At 49.5% G+C, this 25,031-nt stretch overlaps 2 protein-coding genes across 32 annotated transcripts in view, besides 15 other annotated features; both read left to right on the top strand.

Moving 5' to 3' along the window:
- Positions 1-4,265, top strand: part of ANXA6 (annexin A6) — a 57,074-nt gene extending 52,809 nt beyond the window's left edge. For all 3 annotated transcript variants that reach the window (NM_001363114.2, NM_001155.5, NM_001193544.2), the window contains 2 exons: positions 1,279-1,401; positions 3,464-4,265. In NM_001363114.2, the coding sequence (NP_001350043.1) occupies positions 1,279-1,401; positions 3,464-3,523 (183 nt within the window). In that variant the 3' untranslated portion in view covers positions 3,524-4,265. The remainder of the gene's footprint in view (positions 1-1,278; positions 1,402-3,463) is intronic.
- Positions 6,216-6,265: an enhancer, noted in NCBI's record as "active region_23438". NCBI's record gives its function as "activates an Ori minimal core promoter by ATAC-STARR-seq in GM12878 lymphoblastoid cells {active_cell/tissue: GM12878}" and the evidence as "EXISTENCE:reporter gene assay evidence [ECO:0000049][PMID:35858748]".
- Positions 6,456-6,565: an enhancer, noted in NCBI's record as "active region_23437". NCBI's record gives its function as "activates an Ori minimal core promoter by ATAC-STARR-seq in GM12878 lymphoblastoid cells {active_cell/tissue: GM12878}" and the evidence as "EXISTENCE:reporter gene assay evidence [ECO:0000049][PMID:35858748]".
- Positions 9,733-10,932: an enhancer, noted in NCBI's record as "BRD4-independent group 4 enhancer chr5:150473600-150474799 (GRCh37/hg19 assembly coordinates)". NCBI's record gives its function as "activates an origin of replication core promoter dependent on BRD2, P300/CBP, MED14 and CDK7 cofactors, and independent of BRD4, by STARR-seq in HCT116 cells {active_cell/tissue: HCT116}" and the evidence as "EXISTENCE:reporter gene assay evidence [ECO:0000049][PMID:35650434]".
- Positions 9,733-10,976: a biological region, named in NCBI's record as "BRD4-independent group 4 enhancer GRCh37_chr5:150473600-150474799".
- Positions 10,567-10,976: an enhancer, noted in NCBI's record as "active region_23436". NCBI's record gives its function as "activates an Ori minimal core promoter by ATAC-STARR-seq in GM12878 lymphoblastoid cells {active_cell/tissue: GM12878}" and the evidence as "EXISTENCE:reporter gene assay evidence [ECO:0000049][PMID:35858748]".
- TNIP1 (TNFAIP3 interacting protein 1) overlaps positions 17,286-25,031 on the top strand; it is a 57,743-nt gene continuing 49,997 nt past the window's right edge. For 14 of the 29 annotated variants that reach the window (NM_001437747.1, NM_001364486.2, NM_001252386.2 and 11 more), the window contains exon 1: positions 23,937-24,091. The gene's annotated coding sequence lies outside the window, so the exon portion shown is untranslated. Of the gene's footprint in view, positions 17,381-17,804; positions 17,887-23,936; positions 24,092-24,611; positions 24,823-25,031 lie in introns of those variants that run through there. The other 15 variants (XM_047416625.1, NM_001437739.1, NM_001437740.1 and 12 more) reach the window with 4 other exon arrangements.
- Positions 18,153-18,262: an enhancer, noted in NCBI's record as "active region_23435". NCBI's record gives its function as "activates an Ori minimal core promoter by ATAC-STARR-seq in GM12878 lymphoblastoid cells {active_cell/tissue: GM12878}" and the evidence as "EXISTENCE:reporter gene assay evidence [ECO:0000049][PMID:35858748]".
- Positions 19,433-19,602: an enhancer, noted in NCBI's record as "active region_23434". NCBI's record gives its function as "activates an Ori minimal core promoter by ATAC-STARR-seq in GM12878 lymphoblastoid cells {active_cell/tissue: GM12878}" and the evidence as "EXISTENCE:reporter gene assay evidence [ECO:0000049][PMID:35858748]".
- Positions 21,191-21,300: an enhancer, noted in NCBI's record as "active region_23433". NCBI's record gives its function as "activates an Ori minimal core promoter by ATAC-STARR-seq in GM12878 lymphoblastoid cells {active_cell/tissue: GM12878}" and the evidence as "EXISTENCE:reporter gene assay evidence [ECO:0000049][PMID:35858748]".
- Positions 21,421-21,530: an enhancer, noted in NCBI's record as "active region_23432". NCBI's record gives its function as "activates an Ori minimal core promoter by ATAC-STARR-seq in GM12878 lymphoblastoid cells {active_cell/tissue: GM12878}" and the evidence as "EXISTENCE:reporter gene assay evidence [ECO:0000049][PMID:35858748]".
- Positions 23,117-23,827: an enhancer, noted in NCBI's record as "H3K27ac hESC enhancer chr5:150460705-150461415 (GRCh37/hg19 assembly coordinates)". NCBI's record gives its function as "activates a minimal SCP1, AML or CMV promoter by ChIP-STARR-seq in naive H9 embryonic stem cells {active_cell/tissue: H9 hESC(naive)}" and the evidence as "EXISTENCE:reporter gene assay evidence [ECO:0000049][PMID:30033119]".
- Positions 23,117-24,425: a biological region, named in NCBI's record as "H3K27ac hESC enhancer GRCh37_chr5:150460705-150461415". NCBI's record gives its function as "regulatory_interactions: IL6ST".
- Positions 23,343-23,402: an enhancer, noted in NCBI's record as "active region_23431". NCBI's record gives its function as "activates an Ori minimal core promoter by ATAC-STARR-seq in GM12878 lymphoblastoid cells {active_cell/tissue: GM12878}" and the evidence as "EXISTENCE:reporter gene assay evidence [ECO:0000049][PMID:35858748]".
- Positions 23,368-24,137: a transcriptional cis regulatory region, noted in NCBI's record as "chr5:150460395-150461164 region (GRCh37/hg19 assembly coordinates) targeted for CRISPR interference". NCBI's record gives its function as "negatively regulates IL6ST gene expression in GM12878 lymphoblastoid cells {active_cell/tissue: GM12878}" and the evidence as "EXISTENCE:mutant phenotype evidence [ECO:0000015][PMID:33828297]".
- Positions 23,637-24,425: a transcriptional cis regulatory region, noted in NCBI's record as "chr5:150460107-150460895 region (GRCh37/hg19 assembly coordinates) targeted for CRISPR interference". NCBI's record gives its function as "negatively regulates IL6ST gene expression in Jurkat T cells {active_cell/tissue: Jurkat}" and the evidence as "EXISTENCE:mutant phenotype evidence [ECO:0000015][PMID:33828297]".
- Positions 23,703-24,372: a silencer, noted in NCBI's record as "silent region_16519". NCBI's record gives its function as "represses an Ori minimal core promoter by ATAC-STARR-seq in GM12878 lymphoblastoid cells {active_cell/tissue: GM12878}" and the evidence as "EXISTENCE:reporter gene assay evidence [ECO:0000049][PMID:35858748]".

Below are 25,031 nucleotides of genomic sequence, written 5' to 3'. Positions count from 1 at the left end.
GGGACAGAACAGGGATGCTGTTAAACAACCTCAGTGCAAAGGATAAGCTTGCGCAACAAAGAATTATCCAGCCCCAAATGCCAAGGTTGAGAAATGTGCTCTGGAGGCACACAGGGCTGGGTAGGACACAGTCTCTGCCCTCTCAGAGCTCACAATCTATCCGGGGACACAGGGTCTCCTAGGACAAATAGTCATCAAAGGTCACAAGCGCTCCCCTCTGAGTCTAGTCCTGCCCTTCTGGGAGAGCCCAAGCCACACTGGCCACCCTCTCAGCCACTGGAGTCTCAACTGCAGATAGCCTGGGCAGGTGGGAGGGTAGGAAGGAACCTGAGACCCTCACCCTACAGTCTCCAAATGTGACAGCCATTCATTGAGCACTCACGATGTGTCAAGCCTGTGCCAAGGGCTTCATCTCTCTGACCACAGCTGACCCTCATGGCAGTCCTGTGAAATTGTGGTAGCATCCTCATTTGATAGAGGAGGAAACTCAGGCCTAGGTAGGGTAAAACGTTGCCCACATTTACATAGCTCCTAAGAGGCAGAGCTGGGACTCGAACCTAGCTCTGACTCCTAGGCTGGTGCTTGTCGCTCCCTGGGGGCAGAGGCAGCTCTGGCTGCCCACACATTCCATGCCCTGTGCCTGCTCCTTGGGCCCGGTGGTAGTTTCCTAGGGCTGGTGTAACACATTCCAGAAATTGGGTGACAAAAGAAATTTATTCTCATAGTTCTGGAGGCCAAAAGCCCAAAATCAAGGTGTCGCCTGGGTTGGGTCCTCCTGGAGGCTCTGGGGGAGAAGCACTCCCCTGCCTCTCCTAGCTTCTGGTGGTTGCCAGAAGTCCTTGGTGTTTCCTGGCTGTGAATGCATCACTCCGGTCTCTGCCTCTGTCCTCACCTAGCCACTTTTCTGTGTGTATGTCTGTGCCCTCCCTCTTCTAAAGATATTGGTTATTGGTTTAGGCTTCAATCTAATTCAGTATGCCTTCATCTTAACTAATTACATGTGCAAATACCTTATTTCCAAATTACATCATGTTCTGAGTTTCCAGGTGGACATGGGGACACTATTCAACCCACACACATCTTTTTTGCGTGTCAGTCTGGCCAGTCCTGGGCACAGAGGGATTTTGGTCAGGACTGTTTGCAGAAGACAGAGGTGGAACATCCGCCCTGTTTTTGGAAGGAACAAGGGAGAAAGGCAGATGGGATACCACTGTTTCTTGCCTGACTGGGCTCTATCTCTCCTTCCGCCTGTGTCTCCCTCCTGCCTGGCTCCACCAGGGTGCTGGCACAGATGAGAAGACTCTGACCAGGATCATGGTATCCCGCAGTGAGATTGACCTGCTCAACATCCGGAGGGAATTCATTGAGAAATATGACAAGTCTCTCCACCAAGCCATTGAGGTAAGGGGAGGGGCTAGAGGTTAGCAGGAAGCGGGTGAGTGTCAGATCCCTAATATAAGATTAGAAGTCTTTATTCCCATGGACTTTTTTCCAGTGGGTTACCGCTTAGAACAGCCAGGATATTGAAATGAAAGGGGGTCTGTATTGCATTGTTTATACCGAAATCAATTCCAAAAGAATCAAAGGTTTATAATTAAAGATTTCCAAATAAAACAAGAGCCCATTTTTTGCTTTTTTTAAAGCAATGTTATGGAAGTATAACTTACATATCATGGGCAGGCATGGTGGCTCACACCTGTAATCACAGCACGTTGGAAGGCCAAGGCAGGTGGATCACTTGAGGTCAGGAGTTCAAGACCAGCCTGGCCAACATGGTGAAACCCTGTCTCTACTAAAAATACAAAAATTAGCTGGGTGTGTTGGCTCATGCCTGTAATCCCAGCTACTCAGGAGGCTGAGGCAAGAGAATCGCTTGAACCCAGGAGGTAGAGGTTGCAGTGAGCTGAGATCACGCCACTGCACTCCAGCCTGGGCAACAGAGCAAGACTCCATCTCAAAAACAGACAAACAAACAAACGAAAAACTTACATATCATAAAATTCACCTGTTTTAAGGGTACAATTCAACAGTTTTTAGTAAATTTACTGAGTTGTACAACCATTCCCATAATGCAGCTGGTTTCCAAACACTTCTATCATCCCACTAAGCTCTCTCATACCTGTTTATCTAGTTCCATCCCCAGCCATAGGCAACCACCAAGCTACTTTGTGTCTCTGTAGATTTGCCTTTTCTGAATATTTCATATAAATGGAATCACCTAATATGTGACCCTTTGTGTCTGACTTTTTGTTTGTTTGTTTGTTTTTGAGACGGAGTCTTGCTCTGTCGCCCAGGCTGGAGTGCAGCAGTGCCATCTCATCTCACTGCAACGTCCACCTCCTGGGTTTAAGCAATTCTCCTGCCTCAGCCTCCCGAGTAGCTGGGACTGCAGGCATGCATCACTATGCCTGGCTAATTTTTGTATTTTTAGTACAGACAGGGTTTCACTGTGTTGGCCAGGCTGGTTGCTAGCTCCTGACCTCAAGTGATCCACCTGCCTTGGCCTCCCAAAGTGCTGGGATTACAGGTGTGAGCCACCACACCTGGCTGCGTCTGACTTTTTTGACATATGGAGCTTATATTTTTGCTCTTTGAGATCAGCCAAGATCTTAAAGTCTGATGCTTGGTTCTACTTGGCTAACGAGACTATGGGCATCTCAGAGGCAGTCTCTTACAGACTTAGTAGGAATGTAAGTAAATTGTTGGCACATTTTGATACTATATTATGTTTTAAAATCATACATCAAAAAATACAAGGACAAACAAAATCCCGAAAACCATGTCTCATAACAATGATAGGAGTCCCTCAGAAGGGAGATCCATACCATACCATGGGTCAGGAAGTTTGGCCTCCCCAGTCTGAACGTATACCAGACCACTGTGATGTGTGGTGAGCGTGATGGTGTTTGTACCCATTCCCAGCAATGGCTTGGCAGTTAGCACTCAATGTTGTTTGTTCAAATAAGAAATCACCTAACACGATATGCCAAGGGCCATGGGGGAGGGTATCAGCAGAGTGCCAGGGGAACCAAGGGAGGCCAGAGTTCACTGTGCCTCCTGACGCAAGAGAGTGGCCAGAGTGCTTCTCAGAGGAGAGGGCCCTGCTGGCAAATGGGATTGGGGGTGCACAGGGGCATGTTGGACAGGGGAGTGACAGGTGGAGAGAGGACTGAGATGCTCCTGGGGGAAAGGAACAGGTGAAGCTGCAGAGCTCTGCACAGGTCAGATCCCAAAGGGCCTTGAAGCCAGGCCGGGAGCTTGCATATCTTCCTGGGGATAAACAAAAGGGACGTGGTCACATTTATGTGTCTGGGAGATCCCAGTAGCCTACATGTGGCATGGGATCCTATGTTGGTCATGGAGAGAAGCCGAGGGAGATGTCCAGACAGATGGGCAGCCGGGAGGAGGGGGCATTGAGACTGGAAGGACTGTTTTCACTCACTCTGCTCTCTGCCTCTGCCAGGGTGACACCTCCGGAGACTTCCTGAAGGCCTTGCTGGCTCTCTGTGGTGGTGAGGACTAGGGCCACAGCTTTGGCGGGCACTTCTGCCAAGAAATGGTTATCAGCACCAGCCGCCATGGCCAAGCCTGATTGTTCCAGCTCCAGAGACTAAGGAAGGGGCAGGGGTGGGGGGAGGGGTTGGGTTGGGCTCTTATCTTCAGTGGAGCTTAGGAAACGCTCCCACTCCCACGGGCCATCGAGGGCCCAGCACGGCTGAGCGGCTGAAAAACCGTAGCCATAGATCCTGTCCACCTCCACTCCCCTCTGACCCTCAGGCTTTCCCAGCTTCCTCCCCTTGCTACAGCCTCTGCCCTGGTTTGGGCTATGTCAGATCCAAAAACATCCTGAACCTCTGTCTGTAAAATGAGTAGTGTCTGTACTTTGAATGAGGGGGTTGGTGGCAGGGGCCAGTTGAATGTGCTGGGCGGGGTGGTGGGAAGGATAGTAAATGTGCTGGGGCAAACTGACAAATCTTCCCATCCATTTCACCACCCATCTCCATCCAGGCCGCGCTAGAGTACTGGACCAGGAATTTGGATGCCTGGGTTCAAATCTGCATCTGCCATGCACTTGTTTCTGACCTTAGGCCAGCCCCTTTCCCTCCCTGAGTCTCTATTTTCTTATCTACAATGAGACAGTTGGACAAAAAAATCTTGGCTTCCCTTCTAACATTAACTTCCTAAAGTATGCCTCCGATTCATTCCCTTGACACTTTTTATTTCTAAGGAAGAAATAAAAAGAGATACACAAACACATAAACACATTTCCAGTGAGGGCCTCTGTCTTCTACCTAGAGCCTGCAGCCTGGATTTTCCTCATTAGAGCTTGAGGTTGTAAAGTCTGTCCAGGAGCGAGTTACGTCTTTAAATTCTTGCAAGGTGTTTCCCGGGAAGCGCACAGGAGAATCTGAGTTTGCAGCAAGCCTGGGAAGGCTGGCCCAGCCCTGCTCCGGGCCTCAGGTTCCCCCTCATCCCCTCTCGCTGTCTGGACATTTCTGTATGCTCTTCATCCATTTCAACCAAGCCCAAACTTCCTCTTTTGAACTATGCAAGGGTGCCCGATGTGATCTTGATCTGGAGAGGTGCATGGAAAGTTTCCTTCATGCAGGTCACTGATAAGCAAGTAGGCGCAACTGCAGTTCCTCTGCCTTCCCTCCCCCGCTGCCCTACTTCTGGTCTGTGGCTTTGGTCTAAGATTGTCCAGTGACCATGGCATGGGGCTGGCTGCTGGCCAAAGGGCACTTCTCCCTACCCTGGCTGACCAGACTAGTTTATTGCAGGTTAGCGCGTGTTTGTTTTCTTTTCTTTCTTTTCTTTTTCTTCTTTTTTTTTTTTTTTGAGATGGACTTTCGCTCTTGTTGCCCAGGCTGGAGTGCAATGGCATGAATTTGGCTCACTGCCACCTCTGCCTCCCGGGTTCAAGCGATTCTCCTGCCTCAGCTTCCCGAGTAGCTGGGATTACAGACATGTGCTACCACACCTGGCTAATTTTGTATTTTTAATAGAGATGGAGTTTCTCCATGTTGGTCAGGCTGGTCTCGAACTCCTGATCTCAGGTGATCCACCCGCCTTGGCCTCCCAAAGTGCTGGGATTACAGGCGTGAGCCACCGTGCGCGGCGCATGTGTTTGTTTTCATAGCTGTGAAGACAGCAACAGGCAGGTGAGAGAGTCTGGTCTCGTCCCTCCCTCACTTGTGACCTCAGACCAGCCATTGCCCTCACTGGGCCTCAGTTACTCCAACTTTATAGTGGGGGGTTGGATCCAACAATTTTGAAGAGCTCTCTCTTAATCTCTGACATAATGAGTCTGAAACAAAGAAAAGTTACCTTACCGTGTCTTTACTTCCTTTCTTCTGGGCTGTGAACTCAAGTGCCTTGAGGGCCAGCTAAGAGCTTTTTGGGATATTTGTCTAACTTAATTGAACTGTTACTGAAAGATAAATTAACAAAATGGTTCAGAGTTTTGGATTAAGACCTTTGTAACTAACTGACCGTCAGCACAGGAGCTTCGGTTTCCTTCTCTGTAAAACAGGGCTCCTCATTCCAATTCCACCTATCCTGTAGCCTTGTGGGAATAAAAGGAGGCACCACGTGGAGGTGCTTGGCAGGGTGCGTGCCTGGCTCGGAGTCAGTCTCACTACCTGCCCCGAACCAGGCTCAGTTGTAGGGGCTGAAAGGTGGAGCCCATGATGCTTTATGGCTTTGATTTCATGAAGTCCGTCAGCTGCAGATCACAAAGGCATTTGAACCCAAAAAGAAAAGTGCCTTAAAATATATACTGAGGGAAATGGGCTTGGGGCAGAAAGGAAAGAAGAGTGGAATCAGGGAATAGAAGTGAGGAGAGCCCATGGAGCTGAGGGGAACACAGAAGAGGAGGCCTAGAAACCAGGAATGAGGACAGCTAAAATCGGGCAGTAGCTGTCTGATGCCTCCCTAATGCCTCAGCATGCATTTTCCACATAATTTTCAGTTAAGGTAGTTGCATTCTGGTACTGGTCGGTAGCAGGAAGGAAACCCTAAGAGTTTGTGAGGTGAGGTAGACAAGATGAGAAGTGACAGTTTGTCTCCAATTAAGGAGGACTTTAAATGTCAGGATTTTCTCTGATAACCTAGGGGAAGCCTTTGGAGTTCTTGAGTGGGGAAGGTGTGCGTCTAGCTATGCTCTGAGGACAAATGTAGGAAGGCAGGGTGCCATTCGGGAGCCTTTTGCAACGGTCCTACTAAGAGCTCGGTGCCAGCTGAACAAACCACATTTTTTTCTTGGAGTTTTAGCAGAGGAGGAGAGTAGCCACTGTTCTGAACCAGAGCACCCCATTCATGCATGCATGCAGTTTACACTTAATGAGTGGCTCCTATGTTCCATGCCACGTGCTAGGTGCAAAACATACAAACCAATGTGGTTCTGGTGCTTAAGGAGCTTCCACTGAGTGTCCCTCCTGCTCAGCTCTCTCCAAAATGACACTGGAGATTGCTTCTGTGGCCAAAGTTTAATCGGGAGAAGCGATGGGGGCTAATTTAAAACTAAAAGGAAAGAGAAAGCAGAAGCCCAAACCGCTGCTGTCTCAAAGTGGGAGAAAGGGAGGCTGGCTGTGATGTTCTAAGGGTAGAAGGGGCCCTCAGAAATTCTCACCTCCCTCCCTCACTTGCAGATGAAACAACTGTCACTTCCACAGAGAGGAAGCAACTGGCCCAGGGTACATAGCAAGCTAGCAGCAGACAGAACTGGAATTGCCATCCCGGCCAGGGCCGGTGCTTTTAGAAGCACCCTGTGTTTTCTCCTTTTGTCGTCACCTGTGGAGGTGGGCTTCAATACTCTCTAGCTCCTCACTGCTCCCCCTCCTGCCTTGAGCCTTGCATTTTCCCTTTAGGGCAAACTGTTACAAGCTCTGAACTGGGATGGGCCAATCTTGGTCTTTGGGGCCACTAGGAAATACCCGAAGGAAGTTGCCCATTGGGAGGGGGGGTGCCCTTTTAACCTGAGCAGAGAGCAGCTATTTAGGAATTGCCACTCAACCTCCTGCCCGTGGCGGTGGTGTGGGAACCGCTGGCTGTTTAAAGTTTCCCTATGGCCAGGTGCCGTGGCCCGTGCCTGTAACCCCAGCACTTTGGGAGGCCAAAGTGGGCAGATCGCTTGAGCCCAGTTCAAGACCAGCCTGTGTGTAGCAAAACCCCGTCTCTACAAAAAATAGGAAAAAAAAATGCTGGAGGTAGTGGTGTATGCCTGCAGTCTCGAGAGGCTGAGGTGGGAGGATCGCTTGAGCCCAGGTTGCGGAGGTTGCAGTGAGCCATGATCGTGACATTGCACTCCAGCCTGGACTACCAAGGGACACTGTGTCTCAAAAAAAAAAAAGAAATCCCCCTATATTCATGGTGCCCCAGCACAGCTGCAAGCAATAAGTCGCCACCAGAATAATCCCACTTGAGAAGCTTTGCCTCCATGGCCGTTACTTCCTTTGCAGTATTATAGGGGTGATCACCCTCTTTTTACCAATGAGGAAACTTGGGCTCCAAGTGGTGAAACATACTGCCTGAAGACATAGACAGTACATCATGGATTGACTCACTGGAAATGGTCTTAGAGATGGCCCCAACCAACCCTCTCGTTTCACAGGTTTGGTAACTGAGGCCCAGAGACAGGATTGTGACCATTGTATTAGTAAGTGCCAGATCTGAGGCTAGAACGCAGCTGTCCTGATTCCAGGCTCTGCTCTCTCTGCTGACACTTCCTCCTTTACCTATTGATGAGGAAGCCAGACTGAGCTGAGCATGGGAGGGAGAAGGGTCGGGTTGCCCAACCTGAATTTCGGAACCCAGAAGCGGTAAAACAGCGCTCTAACATGCCTCTTCATTCCCCACCAGAACCTGGGTTTCCTACAGATTTCCCCACTTTAGGGTTGGAGTGAGGCAAGTGGGAAATTGTAGTTACATAACTGAGCCCTCTGCTCAGTGGTTAAGTCTGTGGAGGCAGGCAGGCCTGGGTTCAAATCCCATCCACCACTATTAGTAGAAGTAAATAAGTAACTTGACCTGTCTGTACTGGCAATGCATGTTTATTTCTGAGCACACTGTCTAGAACATACGAAGGACTCAGTATATCAGCTCTTTATTATCAATAATAGGCAGGATTCTATTTTAGAGAAGAGTAATCAGGGTCAGAGGGGGGAGTCTGATGCTCTACACTATGCCTGCTACACAGAGAGCTAAGTGGGGAAAGATTATTAGAAAAATCTCAACCAGACCAGGCTCAGTGGCTACACCTATAATCCCAGCACTTTGGGAGGCCGAGGTGGGTGGATCACCTGAGGTCAAGAGTTCAAGACCCGCCTGGCCAACATGGTGAAACCCCATCTCTACTAAAAATACAAAAAAAAAATTTAGCCGAGTTGCGGTGGCGGGCACCTGTAATCACAGCTACTTGGGATGCCGAGGCAGGAGAATCACTTGAACCCAGGAGGCGGTGGTTACGGTGAGCCAAGATCACACCACTGCACTGCAGCCTGATTGACAAGAGCAAAACTGTCTTAAAACAAAAAAAGAAAGAAAAAGAAAAATCTCAACCAAGCAAGGGACACTGAGTGCAGAAGCGATGAATTAACCACAGGGAGGACTAACAAAGGCTCCTTGGAGAACGGGACACTTGAGAGCACCTCAGCAGATGGTTAGAGAAGCTCTTACATTAGAAACTACTGAAGGAGGGAGGGGTGTCCAGGCAGAGGCAATGGCTGAAGCAAAGGCGCAGAGCTGGGAAAGGAGAGGTGTGTGGGAGTGCTGGGGCCCGTCACCCGCTGTGCGAGGACGCCCTCTGGGAAGGTCACTGAGTCCAGGCTGAAGAGTATGGACTTTATCCTCCAGGCACTGGCTAGCCCCTGAATGTGCTAGGGAGGGAGATTATATGATTAGAGATGTCCTTTAGAAAAGATATCCCCAGGGACCAGCATGGAGGAGACAGGACCAGCAGCTGGGGTCCCTAGGTGTCGGGGGGATGAGGACACAAGCCAGCACAGAGGATGCAGAGATGGAGAAAAGAGAAGGACACTGGGGAGCGAGAAAACAGGGAAAAGGGCCCTAAAGTGCCATGGGGAGTGAGCGGGGAGGAAGCAGATGTGAAGCCAAGTTCCATTCCCTAAGAACTCAGAGAAGGACATGAGGACAGAGGTCCCTGATGTAGGCTGTCCCACTGCCCTCCTCTCAGCTAGGTAAGGACTGACAAAACCCTAAACAAGAGCTGTCTGGGAATGTCCCCCCACCACACAAACAGGCCCAGCTGTTAAAATTTCCAGAACATGCATTTCCTTCTGTGGGATGGCCCCACCCCTTCCTCCCAACTACCACCATCTGCCTGTTGTGCTGCCAGCTGCAGGCAGAACCCCTCCCTGGCCGTCTTGAAGGCCATGGACCTTGACCTGGGAGGGCCTGAAAGGAAAGTAGGGAGGGTGGGGAACTGACATTTCCTTCCCCCACTTTCCCATGTGCCTGCTATCCACTCAAGGCCCGTAAATACTGCTTGTCACACAGAATTACAGTCACTGCCAGCCATACCCACAGAGCACACAGTAGAATGAGAAACACATTGCTGGTAATACAAAGGAGTGTAAGGTATTCTGCTGGTAACACATACAGAGACACACATTGTTGACCATACAGAGAAAATAATTTTTTTTTAGTTTGCTGATAACAACCAAAAATACAGACATTATGTGTGTGTGTGTGTGTGTGTGTGTGTTGCTGTGCACGTGGGAAACACCTCGCATATGTATCCTAACTTGTTCTTCACACACACTGGGGCATGTGCACACTCACACTTTTCTTAGTGCATAGCCTTAGTGTGCCCCACACACCTCCAGAAATCAGGAGTCTGCTTGTTGTTGTGTAAGCCCATCAGAGGAGGACAACCAACCAGGCTGTGTGGAGGGCAGACTTCGAGCCCAACAGCCCTGACTTGAACTCTGATCCTACTTGGCATCCTATTCTGGGAGACAAGACTAGCTCCTTGGAGAACCAGGCAGTAAATGAGATCAAGCCTTGGAAAACGAGTGAAGTCCCCGGGGAAGGCTTTCTGGATACGGTGAGGCGCACAGCGAGTGAAATTTAAAGAGGTAGCAGAGAAAAATTGATTCTCCTTCAAAAGTATGGATCCCATTCTGTTCACTTTTCCAGGAGCATTCTAGAAACTGGTGGTGAAGGGGTTAACTGTGCCAGCTACCACATCCCTTGCCCCCACAGGGCTTTGAAAAACCAGAGTGCTGGGATTTGCCCAAGGTGAGTCAGGGTCACTACCTTCCTGCTGCCTTTGGCCGTTCCCAGGATAAAACTCCCCTGGTTGAGTGAGATGGAAACCTAAAATGAAACCTTGCTAGAGTCCCGGACTCAAGCCTCATTACTGTCACCTTTGTCAGCAGCCGCAGCGCCAAATCTATCGTCACCATCATCACTTCTCCCTGAGGCCTGGTATCCCGTTGGGGTAGGAATGTGCTGATTTTGCTTGGGCAACGCACCCTCTCACTGGGCCTCAGACTCAATTTTCCTACATTGGAGGATACTTTAGAGGCAAAATGAGATTAATTTCATGAGGAGCCTAGCACAGTGCCTGGTACCCTGGGAATGTTCAGGTCCTATTACCTGCCCTTCTGTCTTTCCCAGTGTCCTCTCCTCTTTTCTCTCTCCCATCCCAGGGTCCAGGTTAATTGCAGTGCAATATTTGCATAGACGTGAGACCTCACCCGGGGAAATTCCCCCTGGTGACCAACCAGGTTTCCTTTCTGAGGTCAGGCCACATCATCAGACACTGCTCCTTCCTCTCCGGCTTGCCACTGCCACCGCTGGCTTTCGCCCCTGTCATCTGGTGGGTTTAGATCCTGGCACACAGATTTAGGCTCATCCTTTGACCTTGGGCACTGTCCAGAGGGTGGGGATGTGGAGGCTGGGCTAGGGACCCAGAGCAAAACAGTGAGGGGATAGATATTCAGGGAGAAGAGGAAAGGGCAGCAGGTAGGTGGTGGATAGGAAGCCTGGATTGCAATTTGAACTCATCAGTAACTCCCTGGCTGCCCCTGGGCACAAGCCTTCCCTTCTCTGAACCTTAGTTTCCCCTTCTATCCAGTGAGAAGATTGGTCAAGATAATCTCTAAGCTTTGTTCCAGATCTGATAGACTAAGAAGCCACTTCCTTTGCTTCCACTTCCTTTGGCAGCACAGTGTTGCAACATCTGTACTTGGATCCCCTTCCTTTGACAAGAATCTTGCAACATGCCACCCTGTATTAGTTTCCTTGGAAAGCACAATTTTGCAAAAGGCCTCCCTGAATCCCATTTTTCAAATGCTGATAGAATGACACATACCTCCTCTCCACTTAGTGGCTTAGCTTGCGTTTTAACTTTTCCTTTCACACCCATCATACATACTGTTCTGTGACTCCCCGAAAGAGGGATTCTCTCTACATTCTGAAATTTGTTGTCCCTATCCTGGTATTGAGAAGTCACCTTCCTGATACAAAAAGAAGGAACAAGTTGGGAGACCACAGTGACTCAACGACAGTAAGTTCCTGGGATCACCTGAATCAGAACCAGCTGTTAAAAGGGCAGATTTGTCTCAAAAAAAAAAAAAAGCAGCTTCTAGGTCAGTGGTCACAACTTTGCATCTCAAAATCACCTGGGGGAGCTTTATCAATACCCATGCCCAGGCCACACCCCCGGAGATTCTGGTTTAATTAATCTGGGGTGGGGCCTGGAGGGTCCGCGTGTTTAGAAAGATCCCCAGGTGATTTAAATGTGCAGTCAGGATTGCAGGTGATTTAAATGTGCAGTCAGGATTGCGAACCCCTGGTCAAAGGACACTAAAGTTAACAAACCCATGGTCTATAATATTCTCTATGAAATTATCCTAATGGATGCCCTTTTGTGCACACAGCTGTGCTCAGTGTTATAAATGGGTGAAGAGAATTTACTCCCTTTTACAGATGAGGAAGGTGAGGGATGGCGAGAGGAAGTACTGATGAGGCCATATGGTGAGTCAGTAATAGTGGCTGGCCTGGCACCAAGCAGATGCCTGTGGCCTCAAAGTTTGAGGCCTGTCCATTTACTCACAGTCTGAAAAAGGGTGCTGCCAGCTCTTCAGACAGCTGTTTGCAACCAGGGTTACCCCATGTGCATCAGTAAAATAAGGAGGGATATTTGTGGATTTAACACCTGCCTCTATCACTAACAAGTCAAATCCCCTTTCTCAAGACGTATTTCTCACTGTCCCCAGATCTCTTCCTGAAGTGCCAGTTTGATCAGAACATTTTTGGCCACAAAAGTATTTTGTTAATGTTAGTGGAAAGACTCCTATGCGCCCCCCCCCCCCATTGCTTATAGAATGGAGGCGACATTCTTTTCTTTTTTCTTTTTTTTTTTTTGAGACGGAGTCTTGCTCTGTCACCCAGGCTGGAGTGCAGTGGCACGATCTTGGCTCACTGCAAACTCCACCTCCCGGGTTCACGCCATTCTCCTGCCTCAGCCTCCCGAGTAGCTGGGACTACAGGTGCCCGCCACCGCACCCGGCTAATTTTTTGTATTTTTTAGTAGAGATGGGGTTTCACCGTGTTAGCCAGGATGGTCTCGATCTCCTGACCTTGTGATCTGCCTGCCTCGGACTCCCAAAGTGCTGGGATTACAGGCATGACTCACTGTGCCCGGCCAGAGGCGACATTCTTTAGCCCAGTGTTCAAGGCTCCCGAGGTCTGTCTGCCCAGTCTCAGCTCTCTTTACATGTGTATCCCCAGTCCTCTACTCTCCCCAACGTCGGGGACACTGTACACATCACCCCCCTCGATGGGGTTCTAGCATTTCATTCTATGACCCACTTCCTTCTCCTTCTCTTCTTCCCTCCACAAGCATTCATGGATTGCCTGCTGTTTGCTAGGCACTGGTGAAATTGTGACAATCAAAGAAGAAATAGTCCCTGACCACATGGGGCTTATACTCCAAAACGAGTTTTCTCTATGGACATGTTGAGAACACTGTTGATGTGTTGGGTTGGGTCATTTTTTGTTATGGGGATCTGTCCTGTGCATGGTAGGCTGCTTGGCAGCATCCCTGCCTTCTGTCCAATAAATGTCAGTAGTATACTCCCTCCTCAGTTGTGACAATGAAAAATGTCTTCAGATATTGCCAGTTGCCCTGTGGGGGCCAAAATCATCCCTGGCTGAAAACCATTTTTCTCATCAGATGCTAAATTAACTGCACCAATAATCATTTTATTACAACTAGTTGCAGAGAGAGAGAAAGGCAGGGCTTGAAAATGCAGAACAAGGGGCCTGCTGTGGTCTGGAGGGGAGTGCAGGAGTGGGGAAGGTCAGGGAAACTTCCCAGAAGAGGCACACTTAAGTTGAGACAGAGAAAATAAGCAGGCATTGGCCAGGTGAAAGGCACAGTGGAGGGGAGGTGCTGCAGCCAGGGGCCAAGGAATATGCAAGGAAGCCAAAAGAAGCAAAAAGGAAGACCAGGCACGGTGGCTCACGCCTGTAACCCCAGCACTTTGGGAGGTCGAGGCGGGTGGATCACGAGTTCAGGAGTTCAAGACCAGCCCGGCTAACATGGTGAAACCCTGTCTCTACTAAAGATACAAAACATTAGCTGGGAGTTGTGGCACGCACCTGTAATCCCAGCTGCTCAGGAGGTTGAGGTAGGAGAATTGCTTGAACCTGGGAGGCGGAGGTTGCAGTAAGCCGAGATTGTACCATTGCACTCCAGCCTGGGCGACAGGGTGAGACTCTGTCTCAAAAAAAAAAAAAATAAAAAGAAGAAGAAGCAGAAAGGAGCTGGCACATTTGAGGAATGCTTAGGGGTGGTTAGAGCGGGAAGGGATGGTAAGTAGAAGCTAGATCATGAAGGGCCTTGGAAGAATTTGTCAGCCATTGATAGGCACCCATCCAAAGGAGAAGAAGGCAGATCTGAGCTTTAAATGAGAGCCGACTGAGAATGCAATGGGCTACCTGTAAGGTAGTGAGCTCCCCATCATTGAAATAGGGTGGCAAAACTTGGCTGACCACTTGCCAATGGTTGGGGGAGGATGTGCTGGTTCTGGGTAGGCTGTTGAGCCAGTAGACATCTGAAAAACTATGATTCTATGACCTCTTCTAACTGCCTGTCTTCAAAGTTCAGATAAGCAGGTAACTTCATTGGCTTGAGTGGGACTTTGCAAAAATCATAGATTTGATGCTTGGGTGACTCAGAGAAGTAAACGCATCCTCAGTATCTACCAGTGAGTTCCTGACAGTGAGTTCTACCTAGCTGCCTATATGTGAGCAGATAATTCTCACTTTGGATTTGGAAGATCCAGCTGAGAGTTTTGGCTTCTCAAACTCTACGGGGAGTATCGGGGAGTATCAGGGAGTTTAATTAAACTGCTGCCTTTAGGGATCCCCTCGTTAGAGAGTCTGATTTCTTAGCTCTATGATGGGGTCCAGAAATCTGCCAAATCCTGGGCTAGGTCCTAATGGCATGAAGAGTTTCTATTCTTGGGGAACTTTCAACAGAATTGATGAACCAGGAAACTCACAGAGTCAAGTTCATTCATTCCCTAAGTAAGTATCAAATAGCTTTTATGAGACTGGCTCAGTCCTGTCCCTACAACATCAGCAGCAAGACCAGAGATGTCAAAATGGATGAGGTAGGGCTGGATAATTCCGTATCAAAAGAGTGGTCCTGTGACAGTTTCCTTGTGTATACCCAAATTTTGCCCTCTTTTAAGATCCAGTATAGGTCTCATCTCCTCCACATCCTCACGGGAGACATTACTTATATTTGAACTCTACTTGTGCCATTTATTAGCAGTTGTCTTAACCCACTAGGAGCCTCATTTCTTCTTTTGCAGAATAGTATATCAGTCTTATACAGTTCTTAAGAGAGATGCATGAAATAATTCATCTAAGAGCACTGAGTACTGTGCCTGGCATATGATAAGCTTAAATATTAGCTATTAGTGTTTTTATTTCCTAACCGCCTAATGGCAATCCGCCTTTATTCATCCTGATTTCTCCTTCCTCTGAACTTTTGGACTTCCTTAACATGTCAGAATGGGAGGTCCCTTAGTGGTCATCTAGCCTGATATTTTACATTATAGAAGGGGAAGCTGAGGACCAAAACTTGCCTAGGGCCATACAGCAGAGCCAGGATTCAAAGTCAGCTCTACTGATTCCCAGTCTGAGGGCCTCTTCTTCCTCAGTGTCTATCCCCTGGCCTGAACAGAGAAGGCAGCTTCAGGGAATCCATGCATGGCTGGAAGGGGGAAGAGGTGAGAGAAACTGATTGCTGTCAGCATTTCAGCAGGGAGAGCTCAGAGCCATTCTCTTCATAGGATGTGCCAGCCAGGTATTCTAACTGGAAATCCCAGCTCATGTCGCTCCAGCTCCTTGAACGTCCTTAGCCCTTCAAGGTCCCTTTGCCATCTAAGATTCCATGGGCAGGAACTGGTCTAAGCCAGGCTCTGTGAATTTACAGAGAATATGTAATTATAGTGGACTTTAAAGTGCAAATATTGTATATAGGGGGAAAATTGTAATCCAGGAACATTAGGGCTGAGCTACACATATTTTCACCCCCTGCAGAGAAAAGGGTCTATGTACAGGAGAACATCATCTTTTTGCCCCTGGTCTAGCTCAAGGGTCAGTATCATTCATACAACTGCACTTTCTGTGATGATGGAAATATCTGTGCAGTCTGGCATGGTAGCTGCTTGCCACGTGTGGCAATCGAGCTCTTGAAAAGTGGCAGTGCCACTGAGGGGCTGAGTGTGGTGTGGGAAAGAGCACTGGACTAGGAGTCAGGAAGTCCCTCTATTTACTCACTTGGAAATTTATTTCCCCTGTCTGGCCTCCACTTCCTTGTCTGTAAAGTGAGGCCATTGGGCTAGGAGATTTAGCATCCCCGTGTAATCCTGATCTGAAGGGCACAGATGCAGTTGGATGGGATTCAATGGACCCTTCTCCGCCCCCACCTCTTATTGCTCCTCTCCTCCTGCAGAGGCTGCATGTGGCCCCTTGTGACCTGGACCTGTTTATTTCTCCAGGTCTACCTCTGTCACTTCCCCCAGTCTGCCTCAAATCCCTTGGTCTACTCAGACTGAACAGTTCATGGAATATATTCTCTCTTCTCTTTCTGTTCTCAGAATATATTCTCTATTCTCTTTGAATATTCTATTCCCTTTGTGGAGAACACTCTTCCTTATCTTCTTTCTTGGCTACTTTCAGGTCTCAGTTTAGGTGTCACTTCCTCCAGGAAGACTTCCCAGATCCCCATATCCTGACCAGATACTCTTTTGTCCAGGCTCCCAAAGCCCCCTGCATTTCTCCTGCCAAAACACATCTTTCCTGTACTTTATTGTAATCTCCTCCTCATTTACCTGTAGCCCCCAGAGCAGTGCTATCCAATAGAACTTTCTATAATAATGGAAATGTCATACATGCATGTAGTCTAATGTAGTAGGTGCATGTGGCTGTTGAGCACTCGAAATGCAGCTTGTGCTACTGAGGAATTGAACTGTTAATTCTATTTAATTTTAATCTACTTAATTTATATTTAAATAGCCCCATATGGCTCCTCAGAGTCTGTGAACTCTGAGAAGGCAGGAAGCGGGTCTGATTAGTCCACTCTTGTATCCTCAGTGGTCCATAAATGTTACCATAAGAATGAGGAAACTCTGGAACCAGGAATGATGAAGAAAGGCCACACCTCATCCAAACGGCCCTCTTCATCCCCTCCCCAGGCATATTTTCAGGGGATAAGGAACAAAGACTTTATGTTTGTAAAGCAGTCAGTAGTTTACAAAGGATGTCTACAAACTATTATTTTTATTTCTAAATTTATTATCATTTTTGAGACAGGGTCTCACTCTGTTGCCCAGGCTGGAGTGCAGTGGCGCCATAATGGTTCACTGCAGCCTCAACCTCCTGGGCTCAAGCAATTCTCCCACCTCAGCCTCCCGAGTAGCTGGGACTACAGGCAAGTGCCACCACACCCAGCTAGTTTTTGTATTTTTTGTGGAGACAGTGTTTTTACCATGTTGCACAGGCTGGTCTCAAACTCCTAGGCTTAAGCCTGCCTCAGGCCTCACATAGTGCCAAGATTAATAGGCGTGAGCCACGGTGCCGGCCCATCATTTTATTTTAATTACCATTAAATGGCAGGAGTCAGGCAAAGCAGGACTCATTAAGCAGGAGATCACTAGGGCTCAGGATGATGAGGTGACTTGTTCAGGATCTCCAGCTGGTCAGTGCAGAATTCCTTGGGCTGCGGTTTCTAAGGCCTTACTTGACATCCAAATGTGACTCGGCATGCACCAAGGAAGGAGTGGGCCCCTTCTTCACTATGGATGGAGAAGCCTCAGAGAGTAAGTGGCAACAGGTAGGATAGGAACGGGGTGGGAGGATGTGGGCTGGGCATCTGGCAGTTTCCTCAGGGCCCTGAGCACTGGAATCCCCCACCTTAGGCGAAGGAGGAAATGGAGGTCTTCAGGACAATCTAGGGAGGCCAGGCCAGGTTGCCCCAGCCCATTCTCGGGTGCCTTTTCCCAGCCCAGCTGAGGAAGCATCAGGCTTCCAACTCTTCTCCCCAGATCCCCCCCAACCCCAACTCCCTGGAATTCACAGCACGGGACAGCCAGTCTGGGAAGTGACAGGTGGAGGCTGACAAATAAGGGCCCTCTGCTCTGCCAGCGGGCAGGATGGGGCCTCAGCTGGGCCTTGCGGGGCTGCCTGGTGGCGGCTCCTCCATCTCGGGGAATTCCCCTCCTGCCTAATAGTCAGCTCAGCCCAGCCCTCCTTCCTGCAGAAGCACAGTGAGCCGAGGAGCCTTCATAGGGACAGCCGCCCCTGGTGCACACACCCTCGTATTCTCCTGCCCTTCCCCAGGTGAGTGACTAGATGGGGGCCGGTGGGCCAGGACAGGGGAAAGGACCCACCGCACAAGGGTGCTGGGGCAAGCAGACACCCTCAGCTCTGTGCCAAGAGCCACCTGGCCTCCCATGTCCTGCCAGCCAGGGTCTGCTGCTCTCAGCCTAGCTTGCTCTTCCCACCCAGGTCTTGGGCTCCCAGCCCCTGCTCCTCACCCAGCCTCCTTCTCCACTGTCTTCTCTCCCCCATCTCGTTCCTTCTTCCTGCCCCTCTTCTTCTGGCCTTGCCTTCTTGGCCAGTCTTTTTCTCTCTAGTTGTTACTAGCTTTTCCAAAGGGAAAAGCAAAGCCTATTTTTGTCTTATTCCCTCAAGAAAAGGGAGGTATGCAAGTGTGAATATGGATGTGGGTGTTTGTGTGTGTGAGAATGTGTGCCTGTGTTGTGTCAGATCCCTGAAGCGTGTATGTGTCTTTCTGTGTGGGTGTAAGTTGGTGACTGTGTGTATTTGTGTGTGTATCTGTGTGTACAGTGAATTTTTGATGGAGAGGGTACAAGTGTGTGTTGGGCACTTTAGAAGTCTACAGCTAGATAGGAAGAGGCCAAGAATCGGCGCTGCCTCCAGGGGAACATAGTGGAGGCTGAGACCCTCCTTAACACTGGAGCAAAAGGATCTCTTGCTTCTCTCCTGCCTGCTCTGCTTCTAGGGCCGCTGGACTCTTTTGTGGTGGAACCTGTAACAGAGAGCCCAGGGCACAGGGAGTGGGCCAAGGGCAGGCAGACACAGCTGACGCAGCTTCCTCTTTGATCACTTAGAAAATCTGGACTAAAATTCTATTTAATTTTAGTTTAATTCTACTTATTTAAATAGCCCCATATGGCTCCTGAGAGTCTGTGAGCTCTGAGAGAGCAGGAAGCGGGTCTGATTGGTCCACTCCTGTATCCTCAGTGGTCCATAAATGTTACCATAAGAATGAGGAAACTCTGGAACCAGGAATGATGAAGAAAGGCCAGTTCATCCAAACGGCCCTCTTCATCCCCTCCCCAGGCATCTTTTCACAGCCTAGGGAAGTCCCTGGCTAGAAGAGGCAAGGAACAGAGGCCAAGTCTGACGGTGGCTTCTAGGCTACAGAGGAATGGAGGGAGAGCGGGGAGGGGCCATAGAAGAAGAGGGTGTGGGAGAGGACAGGGAGGAAGGTGGGTGGGACTGAAAGAGGATTGCTCTCAGGGCCCTGTTAGGGCTTCCCGGGATTAGGAAATGCTCCGGTTTTGTGGGTCTAACTTCCTGAGAGGCTGGGCCGGGCTGGGCCTGGCTGACCTGTTCCCACTTCCAGGAGGATGACAAGGGGCAACCCTGGATGCAAGCCCAGATCCAGCTTGACACCCTGACCTGGAGACGGAGAGGCCAGGGGGAGAGACGCTGGAGTGGGGAGACCCAGGGCTCCTAGGAACTGTGGGAGGGGCCTGGCTAGGCCACGTATGTGACGAGGCTGGGAATTTCCCCCAGTGTCACTTTGCCCTTTCCTCTCCTCCAGTGGTGCCCTAGAAACTGAAGTGTAACAGGCCAGCCCAGGGACACAGGGAAAATAGTTGGGATAGAGAAGGAAGAAAAGGGGAAAGAGCCTGGAGAAAAGTCAGCAGCAATGCCTTCCAGGCCCAGCTCCTCAGAAGACAGTCTGATGTCTAGGGCAAGCTGCTCCCCAGCTCCAGGCCTTGGGGTCCTCCTGGAAAAAGGAGAGAAGCAATCCCTGCTGCCTCATAGAATTGATGATCATAATGATCATCGCTACCTTTCACTGAGGCCAAGCCTTGTGGCATTTGATTGTCACCACCCTCTGAATTGGGCACAGTTACAGCCTTCATGTCATTGATAAAGAAACCAAGGCACAGAGTTGTAAGTGGCAGGGCTGTGATTTAAGCCCAGAGGCCAGAACCCACACCTTATCCTCTGCGTGACGGTCTCTTGGGAAATGGGCAAGTTGTGGGTATGAAATGGTTTCATTCACCTTAAGGTGCTGAATGACTGTGAAAACCTCTGAAGATACAACTACCTCCTCATGCAGGTATTTGGGAGCTGGATAGAGAGAATTAAAAATGTCTTCTTAGGCTGAGGAGAGAAGCTGGGACCATGGACCCTGCTCATTTATTTACTTTTTACCAAAAACTGCCACAATTGCCTAGAACAATTTTAGTCAATATCATGTGCTTGATATGCATTCTCATTTAACTATCACCAAAATCTCTCTTTAACATACACATACACCCAGCACCAAAAAGTACCTAGAATCCACTGGAGGGTCTTACACTCCTGAGATTGCCTCAGGTTATGGATCTAAGGAAGGGACCCAGGGCTGCTCTTTTCCTAGTTCATTAGCTGCTCCCGAGTTCCATTCTCCCCTAGCCAAGGCCCTGATTCACTCATTCTCCTAATGCAATGAGGAATGTTCTTGTTTGATTTAGATGCTCCATTTCCTATCAGTGGGGTATGTGGAAACAGCACTGTGCTGGGAGAAGGATACTTGGGTTCTGTCCTATGTATGAATCACAAACTCAACGTAAGACCTCCCGCAAGTCCCTGCCGCTCTCTGGCCCTTGGTGTGGCTCCAGCCCTACAATGAAAAGACTGGGTTGATCATTTCTTTCTTTCTTTTTTTTTTTTTTTGAGACGAAGTCTTGCTCTTGTCCCCAGGCTGGAGTGCAATGGCGCGATCTTGGCTCATTGCAACCTCCACCTCCTGGGTTCAAGTGATTCTCCTGCCTCAGCCTCCTGAGTAGCTGGGATTACAGGCGCCCACCACCACACCTGGCTAATATTTGTATTTTTAGTAGAGACGGGGTTTCACCATGTTGGCCAGGCTGGTCTTGAACTCCTGACCTCAGGTGATCCACCCGCCTCAGCCTCCCAGAGTGTTGGGATTACAGGCGTGAGCCACGGCATGCCCTGCCTGGGTTGATCATTTCTAAAGACCCTTCAAGCCTGGCACTCTGAGTTCTATGTCTTGCTAGCTGGCAAGACTTTGGAGCATGATGCTTAAGAGTGTTAAGCGTTTAAGAGCCTGGATCTTCAAGCTCCGGTTACTTGCTGTGCTGTAAGACCTTGGGCAAGTCATCTAATACCTCAAAGCTTCAGTTTCATCTGTGAAATGTGGATGATAATGGTGCCGACCTCATAAGCTGGTTGGGAGGCAAATTATGAATAAAAGCGCGGAGATAGCACACAGCAAATACTCCATACATGTTACCTTTTAATGCTTTTATTATGCAGCCTCCACCCCTCTTCTGGAACTTGCTCTAGAGTTAAGTTGGTTATAGATGGATTTTTCATATGTTTTTTATTACCTTCAAATGTGTATTTGGGTCTGACTCTGTAGCTACCTCAGTAGGGGTGGTGGAGGAGGGAGTAGCAGAAAGGAGATCGAGAAGTTGCGTGCTTTAAAACAAAACCAAATAAAACAAAACAAAACAAAGGCAGTTTGATTCTCCTTCTGGGTGTGGCTTTGTGCGAGTGCTTGTCATTACTCTGGAAGAACAAGAGGTTGCACCTGCCTGAGTCACTCAGCTCCCAGCGTCAGGCCCAGCTTCTTGACTTGGAAATCCCCTTCCAGACCACAGGGTAGCAGGCAGTGCCAGGCTAGGGGGCCTGTCTCCCATTCCTGCCATGCTCCTAGAGGCTAGGGTCTCACAGAGGATGTGTATGGTGGGATGGCGCCTGGTGAGGTTGCATTGCTGAGTTTAAGAGCCAAGTTCTACCCAATGCATGCAGCCCACATCTAGACACCACTATCATTTCTTGAATGCCTACTGTGTGCTGAGCCTTGGGCTTTATTTGCATTGTCCAATTTATCCTCATGATTCACATGAGGAATAGGTATATTATCCCCCATTTTCCAGACAGAAGCCTGAGGCTTAGAGGGGCCACCCAGGTAGTAAGTGGCTGAGCAGGGATTGGAATCCCATTAGCTCAATTCATAGCCTGTGTTTATGACAGTGGTGTTTTCTGCAAGGCAGTGAGAAAAATCATGTCATTGTAAAGACAACTTGGTACAGTGGACCAAGCACACAGGACTGGGAGCCAAGGCCCTGGATTCCAAGGCCCTGGTTGTGTCACTCAATGTGTGTGGCCTAGAGTAAGTCCTTTTCTAGACAGAGGACTCAGTTTACCTATCTGTCAAATAGGGGTTTGTTATCTATGGGCTCCATGGTCTCTAACAGGGTGGAATGTCCTGAAGACAAACCAAGACTTCAAAGAATGGAAGAGGTGGGGGCAGTCACGACTTTATAAATAAATGAGTTTTCTCACAAATTGGAACTGTTAAGAAAAAGGATCCAGAACTAGGAAATCAGACAAAAAGATGACTGAGTGCCATTTTTTTATGTCAAGCTTGAGAATTCCCAGCGGACACTTTGAGAAATGAAACTGTCTGCCCGGCTAAGGCCAGACATGCTATAAAAACAGCTGAAATAGTGTGGAAACAAAATGCAAGTAATTAGAGACCAGCCATTTTTAGGTAGATTTTAGTTTTCAGTGGGTAGAGGGTGGGGGTGGAGAAGATGTGGGTTGGGAATAGGAAGAGAGCCCTGCAGGAAGAGAATTGGGAAGTACAGGCACAAAGAGCAGGAAGAAAACTGGCAGGTGCGGACCTGATGGGTGGAGACGATGCCTGGGAGCTGCTATGTAAACCAGGGCCAGGATTCCCAGTTTCTCTGTAGGATCCCCCAGTGGTGAGACTCAGTGGTGCTTTGGAGTTTGCATCGCTTCCTCCCTCCCTCCCTTCTGAATCAAGGCATAAGTGTAATTCTTTTCATAATTAAACTAGAATGAATATCGTTTTGAAGATCTGATAACACCGTTGAATTAACTGAAGGAACCCTAGGAGGTTACAAAGCCTTATAGGAGAATCCCCAGATTAGGTATATAATTTGGGCAAGTATCTGTGTGTGTATTATTGCGAAGTCACAGTTGATTGATGGGTCTCTCTTCTGTAAAATGAGGGTGTGTATTAAACAGTTCCCCAAATCCTTTCCCCTAATTCTTTTTGAGGATGAGGGCCTGTCAATGACTAAGTTTTCAACAGTACCAGTGAAATGGGTCTTTTGCAATAGGTTTTTCATAAAGCTATATTTAGTTTAAAGAGCTGTTCTTTATTCCAAGGTTAGACCTTCCACTTTTTGGAATTAAAATTTAGCTTTCTTTCTTTTTAAAAATAAAAGGATAAGCTTTTAAAAAGCTTTCCTACCCTTAAAGCAAGTTTATGTTCCTTACCGGTCTAGGAAATCCCAGTCTGTTGGGATTATCTAGCCCACATATAAGTAGGTAGGGTGGAAGGCGGCCTCTGGATTTGCCCACCCGGGTTTGAATCTTGATTCAGCCCCTTACTGAGGTCATCTAACCTTTTTGTGACTCAAATATTATTTAAGAAAAGGTAGTAAAACCCACCTCCCTAGCGTGATTGTGCGAAGAAAATAATGCACGCAAAGCATCTACAATGTCTGGAGCAAAGCGTTTACGATGTCTGGGAATCCTTTACAATGTCTGGAGCAAAAAATGTTCGCGGTAGAGTCTTTATGGGTCTTTTCAGCTCGGAATTTCTATAGCTTTGTTAAGAAGAGTCCTGGAGTGCCCTGGACGGAACTCTGGGGGCCTGAGCTCCAGCTCTGGCTTAGGGCCAAATGCTTACGTGCCTTTTGGCAGGTCCCCTCCCTGTTCTGGCCTGTGTTCCCCTCGGCACAAGGAAGGGGCTGGGTGGTCTCTGTGGCTCGCCTCCGCTCTGAAATTCCGGCTTTCAAGGTGGCCCCAGGCCTTCGACAGGGGCTTCCGGCGCTGGGAGTGCGGCAAGGCGCCGCGCAGGCCCGGGACGGTGGCCCCAGGGAAGTCGCTCCTAGAGGGGAAGGCCGCCGAAGGGACGAGAGACACCGCGGGCCCCCGGAACCGCAGGCAGCCGGTGTTTACCTCGCTCGGTCCCACCCCAGGCGGCCGCGGGCCCGCCCGGAGCGCGCGGCGCGATTGGGCGAGTGGCCTGCCAGTCTCCGGGGACTTTCCCAGGGGTGGGGCGGCCCGGCCAGGCCCCCGGCACTTCCTCGTCCTCGGCCCGGGTGCCCTGCCCCCGTCCAGGAGCCCTAGGAGTGCTACGGGGGGCCGGAGCCTTGCCCGGGCCGCTGCCCCGTCCCTGGATTCGGGGCTGGACGCAGCAAGCGGGGCGCTGTGTCCCCAAGCTCCCCGTCCTCGGGTAAGCCGGCCGGCCCGGAGCGGGGATGGAGGGGAGGAAGGGAGGCCAGGCCCAGATCGTCCAGAGCCTCGGTGGCGGCGGGGAGCGAGCTGGGGAAGGTGGCTTGTGCACCCAGGCCCGGCGCGCGGGGTCCCGGGGCGTCTCCGCCAGCGGCCAAGCCGGGCTGAGCCGCTACTCCCTGCTTGGCGCTGGGCCTGGTGGGGGGCGCGCGTGCGCACTGCGCGGGGTAGCACGCCTGGGAACGGCGTGGGGCGGTTGTAGAGAGCGCAGACCCTCCGGGTGCGGGCGGCGCTGCGGCCCTTTGGGTGTCTATCCTGTGGAGACGAGTTGCCTACGCGGCGTCAGGAGTTTTCGTATCAAGTTGTGGAAGCAGTGTACATATGTCACGAGGAGGAAAATAATAATTTTTATTGGGCGCTTTCCAAGTGCTGATCTTAACGCTGTACGTGTATTAGACTCATTTAATTGTCACTTCCATCCTAAACATTAATATTGTTATTATCTCCATTTTATACTTTAGGAAACCGAGGTACTTGGAGCTTGAGGTCACACAGCTGTGAGTTGCAAAGTCAGATATGAACTCAGGCATTTGGCTCCAGAGTTCCTACTATACTATTTCTGTTGAACATATTTTGTATGCACATTGTTGGAGGCATTTGTGTGCATGTGCAGGATGGATGAGTTTCCAGGAGTGCTTCTGGGGATGGAGTATGAAGGCTGAGCTTTCCACTGTAGGACATTTGTGTGCACGTGTGCATTGTACATTCATTGTGCGTACAGGAGCAGATGGGAATTTTGTGCGACTGGGTGAGAGATTGTGTTTTGGTAGGGGGAGGGAGGGACTTTTGTGGATGATGCAGAAGAATCAGCAACGTCCTTCCCCACCCCCTTGCAGAATGACAGTGCAGGGAAATGTGTAGATTCCTAATGCATCATTTTT

Source organism: Homo sapiens, chromosome 5 (assembly GCF_000001405.40).
Source record: "Homo sapiens chromosome 5, GRCh38.p14 Primary Assembly".
Taxonomy (NCBI): Eukaryota; Metazoa; Chordata; class Mammalia; order Primates; family Hominidae; genus Homo; species Homo sapiens.
Note: the sequence above shows the minus strand (reverse complement) of the source record. Positions and strands in the feature narration are given on the sequence as shown.